The sequence below is a fragment of the Homo sapiens genome, chromosome 1 (assembly GCF_000001405.40).
Source record: "Homo sapiens chromosome 1, GRCh38.p14 Primary Assembly".
Classification (NCBI taxonomy): Eukaryota; Metazoa; Chordata; class Mammalia; order Primates; family Hominidae; genus Homo; species Homo sapiens.
This window is the reverse complement of record NC_000001.11, coordinates 73,674,476-73,697,280: the sequence shown is the minus strand read 5'-3', so window position 1 is coordinate 73,697,280 and position 22,805 is coordinate 73,674,476. Positions and strand designations below refer to the sequence as shown.

The 22,805-nt window shown below is 34.4% G+C and overlaps 1 long non-coding RNA gene across 1 annotated transcript in view; it reads right to left on the bottom strand.

Annotated features, from left to right (window-relative positions):
• Positions 1 to 22,602, bottom strand: part of LINC02238 (long intergenic non-protein coding RNA 2238) — a 63,964-nt gene extending 41,362 nt beyond the window's left edge. The window contains exon 1 of the long non-coding RNA NR_146300.1: positions 22,505 to 22,602. This is a non-coding gene — a long non-coding RNA (long intergenic non-protein coding RNA 2238). The remainder of the gene's footprint in view (positions 1 to 22,504) is intronic.
• Between the last annotated feature and the right edge of the window lie 203 nt (positions 22,603 to 22,805).

Genomic DNA, 22,805 nt, shown 5'->3' with positions numbered 1-22,805 from the left:
CCATAGCTTCGGAGAGAATTATGATTAAATAAATGGATCCTTTTTTTTTTTTTCAGACGGAGTCTTGTTCTGTCACACAGGCTGGAGTGTAGTGGCGCGATCTCAGCTCACTGCAAACTCCGCCTCCCGGGTTCACGCCATTCTCCTGCTTCAGCCTCCCTAGTAGCTGGGACTACAGGCGCCCGCCACCACGCCCGGCTAATTTTTTTTTTGTATTTTTTAGGAGAGACGGGGTTTCACCGTGTTAGCCAGGATGTTCTCGATCTTCTGACATCGTGATCGGCCCGCCTCGGCCTCCCAAAGTGCTGGGATTACAGGCGTGAGACACTGCGCCCGGCCAGTGGATCCATTTTTAATACAAATTGGCTAAACTAGTTTGTCAGTGCTCTGGACCTCTAAATGAAAAAGGGGCTTAAATTATTTAGTGGTTTTGATTCATTGGTGTTAACCTAAAGCTTATGACCATGACAAGGAAGAATAGTTCACAAAATGATGAATAACATTTTAAAATATTTATACATTTATTTTTAAGATAAATCCAAGTTACTGATGGATACAGTTTTAAAAATTATTTTTATATCTCACTATTAAAAAAAGTTTTCATCACCCAAATTCCCAAATTTCTACCCACTAGAAAAAAAAAACTTTGCCACTTTTTTTTTCTTTGAGATGGAGTCTCACTCTGTCACTCAGGCTGGAGTGCAATGGCCCAATCTTGGCTCACTGCAACCTCTGCCTCCCAGGTTCAGGCAATTCTCTGGCCTCAGCCTCCCGAGTAGATGGGATTATAGGCACCTGCAACCAGGCCCAGCTAATTTTTGTATTTTTGGTAGAGATGGAGTTTCACCATGTTGGCCAGGCTGGTCTCAAACTCCTGACCTCAAGTGATCCATCCACCTCAGCCTCCCAAAGTGCTGGGGTAACAGGCATGAGCCACCACACCCAGCCCTTTGCCACTATTTTTTATTAAAATTGTTCTCGCAATTTTTGTAATTGTGATATTTTAGTTAGATATATACTTTTATTTCCTAGAATTATAGGAAGACCTAGGTTTTTTTTTACTTATTACACACATACACACTATTCCTTCAACCTTTCTCTTAAGTTTATATCACCAATTTTGTTTATAGTAATATAAACAAAGCTTTTATTATATAATATATAATATAATATAAGCAAGGCTTGTATTATAAATACTGTGTAAATATTTCCACAGCTGAGTGAGGTAGTAGACTATGAGCTTATTTTATTTTTTGTACAAATATTATTTTTTTAGAATTAATAACTGGAGCATTTTTTCTTTTGTTTAATACATATTGTTTGCTACTTCATCCTCAAAATCTGGCACAGAAACAATTCTCTGAGAAATATTTACTGAGTGCCTTTAAATTGCTAGGTACTTCTCTGAGAATCTGGAACCTAACAGTATCCTCATAAACAGCTCTCTGACTATTTGGAGCTCACAATCTGGCCAGTGAGACATATAGTAAACTATATTGTAACAAGGCACATACTATCTACAACATTAGAAGTGCTAGAAGTTATGGGGGCAAAAGGTAGGGTAGGCTATGATGAATAGAAAGCAGAGTTCATAGGTCTCCTTGAAAAGCTGACATTAGAGAAGAGGTTTAAAGGACCTCCTTTACATCCTTGAAAGTAGTCAGAGCAAAGGACCCAATCTAGAAGCATGCCTGGCATGTTGGAGAAAAGTGTGGTAGGAACTGACAGAATGAGGAGTTGAGGAGTAGGAGATAAAGTTAGGAAATGGGGTTTACATATGTGGGGACTTGTAAGTCACTGTTCAAACTTCGATTTTATTTTATGGGAAATAAGTTTTCAGGGTTTGAGCAGAGAAGTGATATTATTTGAGTTTTAAAAGAATTTAAAAGAATGTGTTTCTAAAAGTCTTTTAAAAGCATTTTAAGAGGATTTGCTTGGCAGCTGGGTTGAGAATAGTGGGGACTATATTGGGAGGCAAACAGGGTGGAACAGAGAGAAGAGTTAGGAGGCAATTACAGGGAATCAGGTGAGATATTTGTTTTTTCTGTTGTTTACACATATCAGGAACTCTAAGGTTTTTGGACTTTTTAAAAATCATTATTGCCAGGGCTCTTGCCCTCATATAGCAGTCTGAATGGAAGTCCTAACGAATGTGCTTATCCTGGAATCTCCCTTCACCATCATCTGCAGGATGCCCTTTGCCTGTAATAAATATCCTGTATGTTATCCAAAGTCTTCCTCTTTATTCATGACTCTCTCCTTTTGGTGAAGCAAATTTTTAAATAAATTATTGAAAAACAACACAACAAAATTACTTTTTTGGGTATATGCAAGTCTGAAAATGTATGTATTGAAGCCTCACAATGAATGGATACATTGGCTGGGGCGTGCTGGATCACGCCTGTAATTCCAGCCCTTTAGGAGGCCAAGGCAGGAGAATCACCTGAGTTCAGGAGTTTGAGACCAGACTGGCCAACATGGCGAAACCCCGTCTCAACTAAAGATACAAAAAAATTAGCCAGGCATGTTGGCGGGCGCCTGTAATCCCAGCTACTCGGGAGGCTGTTGTGGGAGAATTACTTGAACCTGGGAGGCAGAGGTTGCAGTGAGCTGAGATTGCACCATTGCACTCCAGCCTGGGCAACAAGAGGGAGACTCCATCTCAAAAAAAAAAAAAAAAAAAAAAAAAAAAAAAATATATATATATATATATATATATATATATATATATATATATGAATTGAGAATTAACTCCTCTTGTAAGTTTGAAGACATTATTGTTTTGCCCTGAGCCTTCCTGTATTAAATTTTCATATCATGTCAATGGGGCTTTGGTGTGAATCTTTTTCTTCCTTCTTATCTGTTGTGCTTCTTTCCTGTTTGGGAGTAATTTTTAAATCTTTTCTAATCTTGAGATCTTGAAAATTATCTCAGTAATTTTCATGAATTTTTCACTCTTTTATAATCCTGTACGTTTTATTTTTTATTTATTTATAAAACTTCTATTATTTAGATATTATGCTCCCCTATATTTGAAATTTTCTCCCTATTTTATAACCACTTACTTCTTTACTTCTTATTCTAGGATATTTCCTCAAATTTTTTTCTAGATTTTCAATTGAAGTTTGCATTTTTGCTATCATAAGTTAATTTCTATGAATTCTTTTTTCTCTAAATATTTCTTTTCTAATGCCTTCTATTTATTACAGATCCTTAATACTGCTGTACAATCACACTAGATACCCCAGTCCATTCAATTTTTCTAATAGATGATGAATTTCTTCTTCAACCCCTGAATACAAATTTACAAGACCTTCTCTCCTATGCTCAAGACATTGCTTCCTAGTTCACTGAGAAAGATAGAAAATATTGTATAAAAAAAAGGTTTTACAGACTTTTAGAATGACATTTACCCAGATACCACCACCTGGACATATTTATTCTGCCTCCTACCTATTACTATAGATGAATTAGCCCTGCTTCTTTCAAAGGCTCCATATCCTCTCACATACTGAAAGACATCCCTCCAGGAATTTTCAAACCTTTTGTCTATATCATTTTTTCATTTTATACAGGCTTATTCTTATCAACGTATCATCATACAATAAGTTATCCCATCTTAAACACTCTTGGCCCTGCTCTGTCCTTCAGCTAACCAGTCATTTTTTTCTATCTTTACAGCAAAACTTATTGAAAAGTGTATTTATACCCACTGTCTCTATTTTTTCTCATCTCATTTTCCCTTAAACTCATGTGAAACATATCTTTATTGCTAGTAGGTTAGTTTTTTGTTCTTATTGGAACTTCTTTTGTCAAGCTCCTAATGGCCTAATTTTTGCTAATTTAAATAGCCAGTTCTCAGCCCTCATGTTAATTAACCTGTCATCAGTATTTGTCAAAAGCTTATTCCCTCCTCATTGATAATCTTGCTTTATTTGGCTTCTAGGATGTCACTCTCTAGTATTTCCACCTAAGTAACTGGCAGATTCTCATGAATCTTCTTTAATGGATTTGTCTCATCTCCCTAAGCCTCTTAATGTAGTGGTATCTCAAGACCCAACTCTTGGTTCTCTTCTCTGTTTGTACTAACTCAATAGGTAACCTAATTTAGCAATATGGTTTTAAATATTCTACATTTTGTTGCTTTCTGAACACATATATCAGACATGGACCTGTAACTTGAACTCCAAAGTTTTGTTTTTTGTTTGTTTGTTTGTTTGTTTTTGCTTCTCTCTTTAAAGTTTCATTAGAATGTCTGTTAGATATCTCAAATGTAACAAGGCAAAAATTTAAATTCAGGCCTGTTCTTTAACCCTTAAACATGTACTACCCAAAGCCTTTCCCTATTTAGTTAGTATTGATGGCTCTTCCAGGCAATTAAACCAAATACCCTGAAGTTAAGCTTTACTCTTCTCTTTTTCTCACAACTCACAATATCATCACAAAATATGTTTCACTTTATCTTCAACATAAACAGGGCTCACTTCTTCCGGCAAATCAGGTGCTGTTGCTCTGATCCCAGGCATTACCTTTTCTTTCTCAGATTTTTACAACAGTCCCTTACCTGACCTCTTGCTTATAACCTTCTTTTTCTATAGTCTATTTTAATATATTAATGAAAATATTTTTAATATATTAATGAAAATATTTTAATATATTGATGAATATAATATTTTAAAGATGAAATCAGATAATATTATTTCTCTACTTACAACCCTCTAATGATTCTCCATCTTTTTAAGAGTAAAAACCAAAGTCCTTAAAGTGGCCTACAAGCCAATACATAATTTGGCATCCTCACTACTTATCTATACCTGCTTCAAATGCACTTTCCCCTTGCCCATTTCATTCTAAGCAAACAAGCCTGGTTGATGGTGTTTAAGCACACCATTCATGCTTTTTCCTAATGGCATTTTCACTTTTTGTTCATTGAGCCTCAAGCCTTCATCTTAGCTATTTGAACTGAATGTCTTGTTCCCTCATCATCCTCAAATATTTGCCCCAATCATGTTCAGTGATGTCTTCTCTAATTGTCGCATTTAAAATTATCTGTTTATTGTTCACTTTTGTAGTAATTACTGTCTTTTAATATGTAATATAATTTACTTGTTTATTGTCTGCCTTCTCTTACTAGAATGTAAATTCCACAAGGAAAGATTATGGGTTTGTTTTGTTCATTGACTGAGAACAGTACTTCATACAAAAGATAATCAATAGAAACCAACAGAAAGATGCAAAATTTGAGAGAAAAGTCATTTAAAACAGCTATTATAGCTATGTTCAATAATATAAATAAAAATATGGTTAAAATAAATGAACAATTTGGAAATATCAGCAGAAGAATACAAACCACAAAGAATCAAATTGAAATTTGAAAATTGAGAATTAGAATATATAAAATAAAAATACCTGGTTGGGCTTAAAAAAAGAAATATAGGTACTATGTAAATAGTCAGTATACTTAAAGATAAATCAGTACAAATTATAGAATTTGAAGAACACAGAGGACAAAAATGGTCCCATAAACAAACAGAGCCTAAAGAATTTGTGATATTAAAAGTTCTAATGCACAAGCTATTAAAGTCTCAGAAATGAAGGGGAAGAAAGAAAAGCAGAAAAAAATATTTTAACAAATAATTGCCAAAAACTTCCCAAATTTAGTAAAAGTCACAAATCTATTGATTCAAAAGTCATTAGCCCCAAAGCAGAATAAATACAAAGTAAATTACATCATAGTTATACTGAGATAATTAAGGATAAAGACAAAATTTTAAAAAGAGCTAGAAAAATATTACATTAAAACAGGAGGATGTGAAATAACTATGCAGCCATAAAAAGAATGAGATTTTGTTCTTTGCAGGAGCATGGGTGGAGCTGGAGGCCATTATCCTTAGCAAACTAATACAGGAACAGAAACCATATACCGCATGTTCTCACTTATAAGTGAGAGCTAACTGTAGAGGGGAATAACACACACTGGGGCCTTTGAGAGGGTGGAGGGTGGGAGGAAGGAGAGAATTAGGAAAAATAACTAATGGGTACTGGGCTTAATACCTAAGTGAGGAAATAAGCTGTACAACAAACCCCCATGACACAAGTTTACCTATGTAACAAACATGCACTTGTACTGCTGGATTTAAAGTAAAAGTTAAAAAAAAAAAGCTTGAAAAAATAATAATAAACAATTTCAAAAGTGGGTATTTCTCATTAGAAACATTGGAATTCAGAAGATCATGAAACTACTTCTTGAGGACTAAAAGAAAGAAAAAAACTATATATTGGGAAATACATCCTTCAAATGTAAAAGCAAAATAAGGCATTTTTAAATAAATCAAAACTAAGAAAATTGATTGCCAGCAGACCTGTACTAAAAGATTCTTAAGCTGGGTATGATGGCTCACACCTATAATCCCAGCACTTATAGTGCCCAGGCCTGGAGGATCACTTGAGGCCAGGATTTTGAGACCAGCCTGGGTAACCCAGTGAGACCCTGTCTCTACAAAAATTAATAAATTAGTGGCCGGGCATGGTGGCTCACGCCTTTAATCCCAGCACTTTGGGAGGCTGAGGCAGGAGGATCACAAGGTTAGGAGATCAAGACCATCCTGGCTAACACAGTGAAACCCCGTCTCTACTAAAAATACAAAAAAATCAGCTGGGCATGGTGGCGGGCGCCTGTAGTCCCAGCTACTTGGGAGGCTGAGGCAGAAGAATGGTGTGAACCTGGGAGGCAGAGCTTGCAGTGAGCCGAAATCGCCACTGCACTTCAGCCTGGGTGACAGAGCGAGACTCCGTCTCAAAAAAAAAAAAAAAATTAGCTGGATGTAATGGTGCAACCCTGTAGTCTTAGCTACAGGAAGCTGAGGTGATTGGGAGAATCATTTGAGCCTAGGAGGTCCAGGCGGCAGTGAGCCAAGATTGCACCACTGCACTCCAGCCTGGGTTACAGAGTGAGACCTCATCTCAAAAAATAAATAAATTGGGAGAAACTTCCAGAGGAAGGAGCAGGCAGCAATCTTTGCTGTTCTGCAGCCTCCACTGATGATACCCAGGTGAAGTGGGTCTGTAGTGGACCTCCAGAAAACTCCAGCAGACATGCAGAAGAGGTGAAGATGAGGAAAAACCAGTGCAAAATGCTGAAAATTCCCAAAACCAGAGTGCCTCTTCTCCAAATGATCACAACTTCTTTCTAGCAAGGGCACAAAACTGGATGGAGAATGAGATTGACGAACTGACAAAAGCAGCCTTCAGAAGGTGGGTAATAACCAACTCCTCTGAGCTAAAGGAGCATGTTCTAACCCAAAGCAAAGAAGCTATGAGCCTTGATAAAAATCTTGGTAAAAGAACAGCTTACTGGAATAACCTGTTTAGAGAGGAACATAAATGACCTGATGGAGCTGAAAAACACAGCATGAGAACATTGTGAAGCATAAACAAGTATCAACAGCTGAATCAATCAAGCAGAAGAAAGGATATCAGATTGAAGACCAACTTATTTCAAATAAGGTATGAAGACAAGATTAGAGAAAAAAAATGAAAAAGAACGAAGAAAGCCTCCAAGAAATATGGGACTATATGAAAAGACCAAACCTACAATTGATTGGTGTACCTGAAAGTGATGGGGAGAATGGAACCAAGTTGGAAAACATACTTCAGGGTATTATCCAGGAGAACTTCCCTAACCTGGCAAGACAGGCCAACATTCAAATTCAGGAAATACAGAGGACACCACAAACATATTCCTTGAGAAGAGCAACCCCAAGACACATAATCGTCAGATTCTCCAAAGTTGAAATGAAGGAAAAAATGTTAAGGGCAGCCAGCGAGAAAGGTCGGGTTACCCACAAAGGGAAGCCCATCAGACTAACAGTGGATCTCTCTGCAGAAACCCTATAAGACAGAAGAGAGTGGAGGCCAATATTCAACATTCTTAAAGAAAAGAATTTTCAACCCAGAATTTCATATCCAGCCAAACTAAGCCTCATAAGAGAAGGAGAAATACAATCTTTACTAGCAAATGCTGAGGGATTTTGTCACCATCAGGCCTGCCTCATAAGAGCACATGAAGGGAGCCCTAAATATGGAAAATAAAAACTGATACCAGCCACTGCAAAAACACATCAAAATATAAAGACCAATGGCACTATGAAGAAACTGTATCCACTAGTGTGCAAAATAGCCAGGTAGCAGCATGATGACAGGATCACATTCACACATAACAATAGTAACCCTAAATGTAAATGAGCTAAATGCCCCAATTAAAAGCCACAGACTGGCAAACTGGATAAAGAGTCAAGCCCTATCAGTGTGCTGTATTCAGGAGACCCATCTCATGTGCAAAGACACACATAGGCTCAAAATAAAGGAATCAAGGAATATTTACCAAGCAAATTGCAAGCAAAAAAAAAAAAAAAAAAAAAAAACAGCAAGAATTGCAATGCTAGTCTCAGATAAAGGGACTTTAAACCAGCAAAGACAAAAAAAGACAAAGGGCATCACATAATATTAAAGGGATCAATGCAACAAGAAGAGCTAACTATCCTAAATATATATGCACTCAATAGTGGAGCACCCAGATTCATAAAACAAGTTCTTAGAGACCTACAAAGAGACTTAGACTCCCACACAATAGTAGTGGGAGACTTTAACACCCCACTGTTAATATTAGACAGATCAACAAGACAGAAAATTAACAAGGATGTTCGGGACTTGAACTCAGCTCTGGACCAAGCAGACTTAATAGACATCTGTAAAATCCTCCACCCTAAATCAAGAGAATATACATTCTTTTCAATGCCACATAGCACATATTCTAATATTGACCACAAAATTGGAAGCAAAACACTCCTCAGCAAATGCAAAATAATGGAAATCATAACGAACAATCTCTCAGACCAAATGCAATCAAATTACAACTCAGGATCAAGAAACTCACTCAAAACCACACAACTACATTGAAATTGGACAACCGCATGATTATCTCAGTAGATGCAGAAAAGGTCTTCGATAAAATTCAGCATCCTTTTACGGTAAAAACTCTCAACAAGCTAGGTATTGATGGAACATATCTCAAAATAATAAGAGCTATTTATGACAAACCCATAGCCAATATTAGACTGAATGGGCAAAAGCTGGAAGCATTACCTTTGAAAACTGGCACAAGACAAGGATGCCCTCTCTCACCACTCCTATTCAAAATAGTATTGGAAGTCCTGTCCAGGGCAATCAGGCAAGAGAAAGAAATTAATGGTATTCAGATAGGAAGAGAGGAAGTCAAATTGTCTCTGTTTGCAGATGACAGGATTGTATATTTAGAAAACCTCATCATCTCACCCCCGAAACACCTTAAGCTGATAAGCAATTTCAGCAAAGTCTCAGGATACAAAGTCAATGTGCAAAAAGCACAAGCATTCCCATACACCTACAATACACAATCAGAGAGCCAAATCATGAGTGAACTCCCATTCACAATTGCTACAAAGAGAATAAAATACCTAAGAATACAACTCACAAGGAATGTGAAGGACCTCTTCAAGGAGAACTACAAACCACTGCTCAAGAAAACAAGAGAGGACACAAACAAATGGAAAACCATTCCATGCTCATGGATAGGAAGAATCAATATCGTGAAAATGACCATACTGCTTAAAGCAATTTATAGATTCAATGCTATTCCCATCAAGCTACCCATGACTTTCTTTGCAGAATAATAATAAAAGAAAAAAACTACTTTAAATTTAATTTCATAGGTAACCAAAAAAGAGCCCATGTAGCCAAGACAATTCTTGGCAAAAACAAACAAACAACAACAACAGCAACAACAACAAAAAAAGAAAAAAAAGAAAAAAAAAAGCTGGAGGCATCACACTACCTGACTTCAAACTATCCTACAAGGCTAGAGTAACCAAAACAGCATGGTAGTGGTATCAAAAGAGATATACAGACCAATGGAATGGAACAGAGACCTCAGAAATATCATCATACATCTAAAATGATCTGATCTTTGACAAACTTGACAAAAACAAGCAATGGAGAAAGGATTCCCTTTTTAATAAATTGTGTTGGGAAAACTGGCTAGCCATATGCCAAAAACTGAAACTGGACCCCTACCTTATACCTTATACAAAAATTAACTCAAGATGGATTAAAGACTTAAATGTAATACCCAAAAGTATAAAAACCCTAGAACAAAACTTAGGCAATACCATTCAGTACTTAGGTATGGGCAAAGACTTCATAACTAAAACACCAAAAGCAATTGCAACAAAAGCCAAAATTGACAAATTGGATCTAATCAAACTAAAGAGCTTCTGCACTACAAAAGAAGCTATTATCAGAGTGAACAGGCAACCTACAGAATGGGAGAAAATTTTTGCAATCTACCCATCTGACAAAGGTCTAATATCCAGAATCTATAAAGAACTTAAACAAATTTAAAAGAAAAAACAATCAACTCCATCAAAACGTGCACAAAGTCTATGAACAGACACTTCTCCAAAGAAGACATTTATGCAGCCAACAAACATATGAAAAAAAGCTCATCATCACTGGTCATTAGAGAAATGCAAATCAAAACCACAATGAGATACCATCTCATACCAGTTAGCACGGTGACCATTAAAAAGTCAGGAAACAACAGATGCTGGTGAGGCTGTGGAGAAATAGGAACACTTTTACACTGTTGGTGAGAGTGTAATTTAATTCAACCATTGTGGAAGACAGTGTGGCAATTCCTCAAGGATCTAGAACCAGAAATACCATTTGACCCAGCAATCCGATTACTGGGTATATACTCAAAGGATTATAAATCATTCTACTATAAAGACACATGCACACATATGTTTATTGCAGCACTATTTACTATGGCAAAGACTTGGAGCCAACCCAAATGCCCATCAATGATAGACTGGATAAAGAAAATGTGGCACATATACACCATGGAATATATGCAGCCATAAAACAGAGTGAGTTCGTGTTTTTTGCAGGGACATGGATGAACCTGGAAGCCATCATTCTCAACAAACTAACACAGGAACAGAAAACCAAACACCGCATGTTCTCAGTCAAAAGTGGGATTTGAACAATGAGAACACATGGCCAGCACACACTGGGGCCTGTCAGTGGATGGGGGGCAAAGGGATGGAGACCATTAGGACAAATATCTAATGCATGCGGAGTTTAAAACCTAGATGACGGGTTGATAGGTGAAGCAAACCAGCATGGCACATGTATACTTATGTAACAAACCTGCAGGTACTGCACATTTATCTCAGAACTGAAAGTATAATAAAAATAAATAAATACATAAATAAATAAGAAATGAAAAGAGATTCTTCATTCTGTAGGGATCTGATACCAGGTGGAAACATCCTCAGGAAAGAATGAAGATAACCAGAAATTGTAATTATATAAATAGATATAAAATACTTTTTCCTCTTAATTTATTTAAAATGCATATGATTAAAGAAAAAACTATTTGTTTTATGAGGTTTACAACAAATATAGATATAATACAAATAAAAACTAGATCATAAATGATGGTGGTGGTGGTAAATATACTTACTGATTTGTGAAATTCTTACAATTTATTTTCAATAATGTAATAGCAACACTAAGTGGGCTATAAAAGCTATACATTATAATCCTACAGCAAACACTAAAGAAAAAAGTCTGCAGAAAGTTGCAGCAAAAAGCCAATACATAAATTATAATGAAATTACTTAAAAAGAATAGTTATTTAACCTGAAGATAGCAAAAGAACAAAAAAGAAAGTCTAAACAAGAAACAAACAATAAGCCTAAATCCAATCATAACAACATGTTAAACTTAAATAGCTTAAAGGAGATTGTCAGAATAAGTAAAAACCTAACGGGAATCTAGGTTTATATTGGCTGGACTTGTTGAGTCATGAAGTTCATTACAGAATGAAATGGCTGTAGGCCTTTACTCTTGGTTCTCCATTTTCCTACATAGGCACCAACCTTCTATATAAAAGGGAGAAGCCTGGCTTGCTGTGCATTGAATGAAGTTAAAATGCTAGAGATTTCTTTATTTAATATGTAGTCTTTTATTTAATACTACTACTTTTCATATGATATTTCTACCTCAACTGTGTCTTGGGCCCTTGGGTCCAAGTTCTCTCTGATTGAATCTCTTCAAATAATAAACCTCTTATTTTCTGCAAGAAAAGAAGTAGGTATAATGATCAGTCTGCCAACTTAAAAAATGACAATTTATCTTGCAAAGGCTTATCTTTATCAAAAGTGTACACATAAGAACGTACTTTGATAATGCAAAGAGCAGTTGTTTAAATAATGCTGTATTATGAAGAAGTAGCCCTTTTAGGAAATTATAGGAGGAAGAAATTTCTCTGGCTTTGTGTAGCCGTGTGGTGAGACTTCATGTATGCTAGTACTCCCAATACTCCCAGAAAATTTTTCCACTCTCTACTCTCTCCACTTCTTTGTAATTATCCAATTGTTACTCTTGGAAGAAGTAAAGAGTATGCTGAGCCCATTCCTTTTTGTTTTTTGTTTTATTTCTTGTTCTTGTTCAGGGCCTGCTGAAAAAGTATCCTGAAGTGAGAATGTATTTAATCAGCTTTCTTTCAGGCAGAGAGGTGGGCAGATTCTGTCTCTTAGAGAGATATGTGATCATCTACATCAATGGGCATAACTGTCTAAATATGGTGAGGGATGTGGTTGCAAATCTAGAGCCATAGTGTTCAAATAGCTTTAGCCATATGATAAAATGACAATTACTTTTTTAATTGTCTGTATCTTGGATTTTATTTCTCAAGCAGTTTCAAACAAGGAGTACAAAAGGGGTAGTAGTACATTTATGTGACCAACAAACATATGAAAAAAAGCCCATTGTCACTGGTCATTAGAGAAATGCAAATCAAAACCACAATGAGATACCATCTCATGCCAGTTAGAATGACGATCATTAAAAAGTCAGGAAACAATAGATGCTGGAGAGAATGTGGAGAAACAAAAATGCTTTTACACTGTTGGTGAGAGTGTAAATTAGTTCAACCATTGTGGAAGTCAGTGTGATGATTCCTCAAGGATCTAGAACCAGAAATACCATTTGACCCAGTAATCCCATTACTGGGTATATACCCAAAGGATTATAAATCATTCTACTATAAAGACACATGCACACGTATGTTTATTGTGGCACTATTCACAATAGCAAAGACTTGGAACCAACCCAAATGTCCATCAATGATAGAATGGATAAAGAAAATGTGGCACATATATACCATGGACTACTATGCAGCCATAAAAAAGAATGAGTTCACGTCCTTTGCAGGGACATGGGTGAAGCTGGAAACCATCATTCCCAGCAAACTGACACAGGAACAGAAAACCAAACGCCACATGTTCTCACTCATAAGTGAGAGTTGAACAATGAGAACACATGGACAGAAGGAGGGGAACATCACATACCAGGGCCTGTCAGGGTTGGGGGGCTAGGGGAGGGATAGCATTAGGAGAAATACCTAATGTAGATGACAGGTTGATGGGTACAGCAAACCACCATGGCACATGTAAACTTATGTAACAAACCTGTACATTCTGCACATGTATCCCAGAACTTAAAGTATAATAAAAAAAAAACTCAATAGAAAATATTTTGTTTTTGCATTCAAAATATAAATAATATGTATAGTTTATGATTTTGCTGCCTACACTCTTTGGGATATTTTAAAACAATTATGATATTATAAAAACATAAATTGTCATTTTTCTCAGATTACTTTTTTTTTCCTGAGGCTTACTTTTCCTGTGTAAAAATAATTGTCAACGAAATACCAGTATACAATTAGAAGAAACTGGACTCCGTTTTTACACCATATAAAAAAATCAACTCCAGATGGATTAAAGACCTAAATGTCGATCTTAAAACTATAAAAACCTTGGAAGATAACCTAGGAATAACATCTTGGATGTACAAATTGGCCAAGATTGCATTATGAAAATGCCAAAAGCAATTGCAACAAAAGCCAAAATTGGCGAATGGTACTGAATTAAACTGAAGAACTTCTGCATAGCAAAAGAAGCTGTCAACAGAGTAAACAGGCAACCTGCAGAATGGGAGAGAATATTTGCAGATTATACATCTGAGAAAGGCTTAATATTCAGAATCTATAAGGAATTTAAACAAATGTACAAGCAGAAAACAAACAACTCTATTAAAAAGTGGTCAAATTACATGAACAGACACTTTTTAAAAGAGGACAAAAATGTAGCCAACAAGCATATGAAAAAAAGCTCAATATCGCTGATCATTGGAGAGTTGCAAATCAAAACCACAACAGGATACCATCTCAAGCAAGTCAGAATGGCTATTATTGAAAAGTCAACAAATAACAGATGCTGACAAGGTTGCAGAGAAAAGGGAACGTGTATACACTGTGGCGGAAGTTTAAATTAGTCAACCATTAGTGAAAGCTCTGTGGCGATTCTTTAAAGAACTAAAAACAGAACTACCATTTGACCCAGCAGTCCCACTACTGAGCATATACCCAAAGAACTATAAATCATTATACCATAAAGACACATGCATACACATGTTTATTGCAGCACTATTGACAATAGCGAAGACATGGAATTAACATAAATGCCTATCAGTGGTAGAATAGATAAACAAAATGTGGTATGTCTACAACATGGAATACTATGTAGCCATAAAAATGAATGAGATTATGTCCTTTGCAGGAACATGGATGGAACTGGAGGCCATTATTCTTAGCAAACTAATGCAGGAAGAGAAAACCAAATACCCTATGATGTCACTCATAAATGGAAGCTAAACAATGACAACACATGGCACAAAGGTGAACAGAACAACAGACACTGAGGCCTACCAGAGGGTGGAGAGTGGGAGGAGATAGTGGTTCAGGAAAAAAACAAACAAGAAGTAAAAACTATTGGGTACTATACTTAGTACCTGGATGACAAAATAATTTGTACACCAAATCCCTAAGTCACAAATTTACCTAAATAAGAAACCTGCACATGTACTCTTAAACCTAAAATAAAAGTTAAAATTTTTTTTAAAATGAGATTAATAATAGCAAGAAATAACAAGAGGATGGTATAAGTGGAACTTTTATATATAGGTGGTGAGAGTATAAATTGGCGAAACTACTTTGGAAAATCACTTCATAGTACCTAAAACTTGATCATAGGTTTATGTTATGAACTGACCCAGGAATTGTACTGCCTGGCGTATTTTTAACAGAAATAAGTGTATATCTTCATCAAAAATATGTACAAGAGGCCAGGGACAGTGACTTGCACCTATAATTTCAAATCTTTAGGAGGACAAGGCAGAAGGATGACCTGAGGCCGGGAGTTCAATGTCAGCCTGGACAACATGGTGAGAACCCACCTCTACAAAAAACATAGATAAATTAACCAGACATGGTGATGAGCTGTGATCATTTTTTTGTACTCCCAACTGGGTGACAAAGTAAAATTCTGTCTATAAAAAAAAAAGTGCGAGAATACGCATGACTACTTTTTTTCGTAATAGCTAAAGACAAATTGCAAATAGCAAATGCCTGATGTCAGCAAACTTGACAAATAAAATGTGACATATTAACAAAACAGAAAATTATGGAACAATGACATGAATAAATTACTACCATATGCAACAACAAGAGAAATCCCATAAACATTATGTTGAAAAAAAGAAGCCAGATACAAGAGTACATATCACATAAATTCATGTACATGAAGTTCAAGAATAAGCAAAACTAATATATCGTAAAAATAAATCAGAATAGTAGCTACCTTTGTAGGTAATTAATGAGTAGGACACCAGGGGACACCAGAAAATATTCTGAGGTGCTGAATATGTTCAAAATCTTGATCTAGATGATTGTATAAATATATGCTAAATCTAAAAAAGGTTTTAAAAGTTGCCACTTGCTTTATATCTTCTTTTTTAACATAAAAAAAATTTAAATATTTGATTCCTATAACACAATCAAATATAGTGAATCTCACCATATTTTAGTATGCTGTTCATTTGTCTATAAATATATTATCATTTTCTGCACAGCGCATGAAAATTTAGCCATGTTTATGAAATAATCATAAAATGAAATACATTTATCTGCCAATTTATTATTTCCATATATTTTAATAAATTTTTTGTAAATACTTAGTAAGTACTTATTTAATAAGAGTTAATGAATAAAACTGACACTCAAAAATATAGGAACTACTTATATTCTACAAATAGTAATAATAATTTATCAAATCTAAAATCTCTGAATCAACATTTAATTAGGCAGTTAAATTGTAATTGTTCCTTTCTTAGAAACAAGATTCAGTCCTATATAATTGCTGAACTATAGGAGTAAATGTAAAAATAATAAAATGATAAAATAATTTAATCATTTGTCTATTACTTATTATTTAAGGCAGAAACTTACATTTGTTGGCACTATATCATAAGAATTAACATAATTTCTATTTTTGAGGGGGAAATTAGTTTATTGATTTAATAATTACATGGTGATATCTATTGTGGCACATTTAGATAGGATTATAGTCTTGTAGATGGTGAGTTGGCCACATGACAATCTAATTTAAATGATCTCATTGCAGCCTTTAAAAGAGAGAGAATCTATGGCTACTTTCACTTATAACAAAACACTATCAATTCCATAATATTGTCAGTTGTTATCATACAATTTTATTATAATCTGCCATAAATTATTTCTAATCTGCTTAATCAGAGTTTTTTTGCCTTTGTTTAAGATTCTTATATAAACCTTTTAGCCATGTATTGTAAATTAATAATATAGAAACTGGACACTGTCTCTTTTATTTATCTTTTTTTTTTTGGATTGACAGTGCAGTGAAACCAAGTACTTGATTAGAAGAGGCAAAGCTGTCAGTTCTGAAAAGACATGGCTAAATTCACAATTAATTCTCTTATTAATCATGCTATCTCGAATTTTGAATTTAAGAGCCTTTGCAATACAGGAAAATGCACTTTTCATAATATTAGTTGATTATAAGAACTTCATGTCTTAAATTTTCAAAAGAAATATATACTTCATCAGCATCTTTCTAACATCATGGGAAAAAAAGAATCTATCATTGCTGATGTCAAAAAAATTGGTCAATTGAATTATCTGGTTGACTTATCATTCCCCTGTACTTTAGAAAAAATGCAGCAGGTGTTTCATTTCATGGTGATTATTTCATAAACATGGCTAAATTTTCAAGCACTGTACAGAAAATGATAATATATTTATAGACAAATGAACAAGGAATCTTTTTAAAAAATTATTTCAAATTTCCATTTCAATAAAATTAATTGAAATACTTCAATTTTTTAATCTCCATTGTATAAATGACACAGAGACTTGAAGCAAGTGTGAGTTTACTTTTTAATCATAACTTTTCTTAATATCAGTAATCCTAAGGAATCAACTTTCATTATTCATGTGAAAAGTAGGTAATGGTGAGTGAAGTACATGCCTTGTCTTCAAAGGGCCTCATGTTTAATGGTGAAGACATAGTAGTCACATTGTGGTGTGCAAGTGTGCTAGCATAACCACAGAGATAAAGTGAAACATTGATCTTCCAGAATCACACAAAACAATAAAACAATATACATAATGGAGGATCATGTACCGAATCCGTCTTCAATTAAGTTTTCAAAGTTTCCACACTGATCAAGGGTGACATTTGATGTAATATGTTATGCAGTTGGTTTCAAAATGATTTATTCTTGAAAAGTCAAGAAGTGTTGCTAGAATATGCTCATTGCCATTGGATCGAACTTTATCACTCCCTGTACTTTGCTTTAACTCCTTGTACTGTCCTTTAACTAACATTTTCCACTGTATCCTCCGGAATTCCTGTCCTATTTACAAGAGTTTCTCTCACATATCATTCTTTTCCTAGAACACTCATCTAGCCTGTGACCTCAAAAAGTCCACAGAACCTCTCTTCACTTTTAACTAGCAGTTAGGAGTTGGCCATCCTCCTCTTCCTTCCAATCTGCCCTTTCTTCTCCCAACATTTCCTGGTACAATAGGAAAAGCAGTTGTCTTCCAGTGCTCCACTGAAATTTTGTGGTTTGTATTTATTTTTTCCTAAAATAGCCTTTCCTCTGTAAATATATTTTATGACCATGTTCCCTCCTACTTTCCATCATCTTAGGTCATGTAGATAGGCCTCTAGTGTTTTCACCTTCTTTTGAAGAGGACTTGGGTACATATTTGAACAGTTTTCCCTCTTTTCCAACTCCTATAATCACTTAGACTATTTCAAAATCCAGTTGTATGACACATCAAATCCATTTTTTGAAGAAATAGTTATTCAACATTTTTAATCTACTGAGCAACTAAGCATTGTGTGTATCATTATGAATACACAAGTGATAATTTCAGAGCCTTTAATGTGAATTATCTCATATTGGAAGACAGACAAATGGACCAAGTAGCTACAGAAGTACCTTTCATGAACTATAAAAGAAACTTATATAAGGTCTGTGGAAATAAATTTTTTAGTAAGACTTATGCCATCTTACAACCCTGACTCCAATCTAGCCAGTTAATTTGATAACCATACCTTCACTTCTCTACCTCTCTATTTCCCCTCCCCAGTACTACCCACCAGAACTCCAGACTTTATCCTTATTGAACTTATCTCCATGCCATTCCTTTTCTAATTTTCTGTCATTTTTCATATGGTTCCATCTGTCTGAAATATCTATCACTCCTCTTGGCCATCTGTCAAACTCCTGTTCATAGATTTTAGCTTAAAAATTAACTATCAGATGAAAACTTCCCTGATACACCAAAGAAGGTTGAAATTTCAACTCTTCTGTTCTTCTATGCCCTTTGTGTGTACTTCCAGCATCTCTTTAACATGTCTCTGAGCTCCTAAAAGATAGAGTCTGAATATATATACTTAGTAACGAAGACATAAATTTTCAAAACTTTTATGAAATGAAGCCTGACATACAGAGGAAAGATGCTAGAGAAATTCATATCAAAGAACAGGTCTTTTATTCCTATGATGTTCCTTAGGAACAACTTTCTTGTTAATAATTGATCAATTTTATAGTGTAATGAAAATTGACTCCAAAGTCTCCAAATTGTCTAGACATCTTTATTATTCAGGTAGACTAACTTTTTTAAAGAAGCAAGCTGCAAATTAAAGTGTTTACCATGATAAATTTTATTTTTTGTTTATATAAATTCCAATGCTGATGTTCTTATCAAGTAGCTCAACAGGGTGGCTCTCTTTCACATGATGTCTCTCACTAATTCAGGCTTCATTCATTTTGTGAACCTACCATCTGTAAAACTAGGTTTTTAAATTGATTAAAAATGAGAGCAGAGCACGTATACTTAATAATGACAGTCTGTAATTGACACTTATCACTTCTGATCATGTTTCATTAACCAGAATTAGTCACATAGCACCATCTAGATACGAGAGAGACAGCAAATGTTATACTGTAGAAGACCATGAATATTGGTGGTCTGTTAGCCTTCTGTGTCGAACAAGTGAACTGGCATAAATGTCTGCAAATACTAAGTATTGTCTAAAATCAAGGATCTGATAACTGAAAAGAATTGAAATTTTCCAAAATACTCATCTGTAGATGACTAGAGAAGAGACTTAACTATGGATTAATAAACTATTTTTTCTGAAATGCTCTTTTTAATTTGGATTACTCTTTTAAGTTACAACTTGACAGTTTTAAAAATGCACAACTATGCCTGGCTCCCTGCCTTTTATTATTGTTTCAGAGGAAATATTTTTGGAGGAAATATGCTTTGGAAGAAATATTCATGGCCCAGTATAAAAAATTGGTTTTATTTAAAGTTCAGAAAATTGGTACCAGGTATTAGAATTTTGTTTTGTCCTTGATCTAAGTGATCTCTGTGAAATGCTTATTTCATTTACAATTACTCTTCCTATCTGACTTTTGTTTTTGTTCTGTGAAAAATGGGCTCACAATTCTAGCTCAATCATAATAAAATTGAGTATTGGTACTTTTTGTTATTGAACTCATATATGCACTTATATGGTATCTAGATTCTAAGAGAACTAGCTCATGCTATTTTCTTGACAAATTGCTTCTTGATTGGTATCTACATGTGAAGTAAACTACAAGGCCCATGACTTTTGTAAAATTTCAGTTAGATTAAATTGAGTAAGTTTATTTTCTGTAGAATATACCAAAAATATTTTATATGCTACTTTTATCCTATTGGAATTAGCTAATAATGATACCTCACATCATTGGTCTTACTTAATCTTTAGAGCAATCCCATAAGACAGATATATTTTTATTATCTTAATTTTATGAGCCTGTGAAAATGCAAAATGGTAATGCTAAGGTCACAATATTAACAAGTGCTAGAACTGGGGCAGCCTGATTCTAGTCTGCATGCTTAACCACAATGACTTAGTGCTACTACTACTGTAGCAGCTTATTTAGCATTACAAAGATGTATCACTAAGGGCATAATAAAAGCAAATGAAGACTTTTAGTCTTATTTGATAGATATATATTTATTAATTACTTATTAATGATGATATATATTTGAATGAACAGATTTATGAGTTCCAGGAATAAGAAAGACTCCTATTTTCAGAAGGGCCAGATGGTATAAATGATAAAGTATTATAACATTTTAGAGGGTACTGAGTTTTAGATTATGGGCTTTGCTTCAAAATCAAGAGTTGAATTTCAAGAAATAAATTTATATAAAACAGTTTTACTTATACTACATTAAATGAGTTGGGTTGCTCTGTTTCACGTGGCTCAATCTGTGACATTATATTTCTGAAACCATTGCTTTGCCATCGTTTCTTACTATCCCCTCCTAGACTTGCTAGTAAGTTGATGTGCTTCCAACATGACAGCTGCAACAAAATGGCTATTTTGGGAGCGAACTATTATAAATGTATAGAAAGAAAGATGGGTATTTTACTTGCTACTTCATGCAGGTTGCAACACTAGTATATATGATGTGATTAGATATTTTCAAGAACAGAGAAAATATTTTCTATTAAATGAGTTTAATTTTTCACTTCTTTCTATTCCACTGTTTTAACAGAGCCAATTATGTAGCTTAGAAATACAAATGTACTTTAAGAAATAACTCTTGCCTTAAGAAAAAGAAGGTATTATTTACTTTGAGACACGTGATATTAATATAAATCATTGCTGTGGTGCTAGCATAGGATACATTAAAGTCATTTACATTTGTTTATAAAGCTCCTCCCCTTTACAAAATAACTACTAGTAAATCTCTAAGCAGTAATTAAAGGAATTGAAGGTAGTATTGAAATATTTAATAGTACCCCCAAAATTCGATACTCTATAATTGAGACTTTAACCATTCTTAATAAATGCTCTAATTTGCCAAAAATTTGACTAAACTTTTTATGTGTACTTCATGTAGACATCAAATCTTTACTATTTATACCAAAAAACAAAAATAACAATAACAACAGTAACAAAACATCACACATGCTTACCTAGTATATAATTCTTGTAAGATTTTTCTGCCTTCTTAAGTAAATATTCCAGGATATTAAGATAAAGAAAGATTTAGCATTTTTATGGTCAATATTTTTTCCATGTTGCAGGTAAATTCTAAATATTAAATTTACTTTAGACCCTTAACATTTACTTGGATTTTGATATCATTTAAATACATATATATATAGAATGCTTCTCCTCAATTTATTTTGCAAAACATGGGTATATTTTACACAGCACAGGTATATTTTACTTAGTTTATATGGAGGCTTTGCAAATCTCTTAGTCTTTGCCTGTCTTAATTTTCTCAGTGTGAATGAAAGAAGATATATGTTAAAGATTAGAAATAATTTGAAAATAGTACCTAGAATATATTAAGCACTCAGTAAGTAGTAGCTAAATTTAAAATGGTAAAAATATGTATTTGAAACAGATTTTAGTGATTATATGAATTATAGTAAATTCTTAGAATATATGGCAACAATTTTGATCCTTCCACACACCCACAGTCATTTAGTGATTATGTCAAAATTGGTTTCTCGAGCACGTCCTCAGTACTGTCTGCTTTCTACTTTCACCTGTTGTTATTTAGTCACCACTAGATGGTGTCCTTTTATGTTAGTAGCTTTTAACTCAGTTTTCACCAGGAAAGAGGTTTCATTATTCCTTCCTTCTTTCTTTTCTTCATTCACTCATTTATTTCTTCATTTATTCATTCATCCCATCCATCCATTCATCCATCCATCCATCCATCCCTCCACCCACTCAGCTATCCATCCATTCACTCATGCTACCATTCATTTAATAGAACTTAATTGAAAAACAATCATGTGCTGGGCAGTGAAAATTTAAAAATAAAACAAAACTAAAACCAATTAAAAAAACCTTGGAATTTTACGTTGCCTCTGTCCTTAAAGAGCTCATAGACTATTTAAAGTACTTTTATTCAGAAAGCACTTACTGGGCACATACCTGTGTCATCTTCTGTTCTAGGTATTGTGAGCATAGATGAAGAAAAACAGGGAAAGCATCCTACCCTCTTGGAACTTGTATTGGCATAGAGAACAAGCAAACCAACCAATAGCTGTACAGAAAAAAATAGAAGGTAATTTCATACAAGTGATAAAAGGTAGCTTAGGGGATAGTTACCCCGACTGAACAAAACCTTTTCTCGTGCTCAGAGATACATAACTTATAGAATCCATTTTTATAAATAGGATTTTTTTCAGTGTTTCTGTTTTGATTACACTGCTTGCCATTGT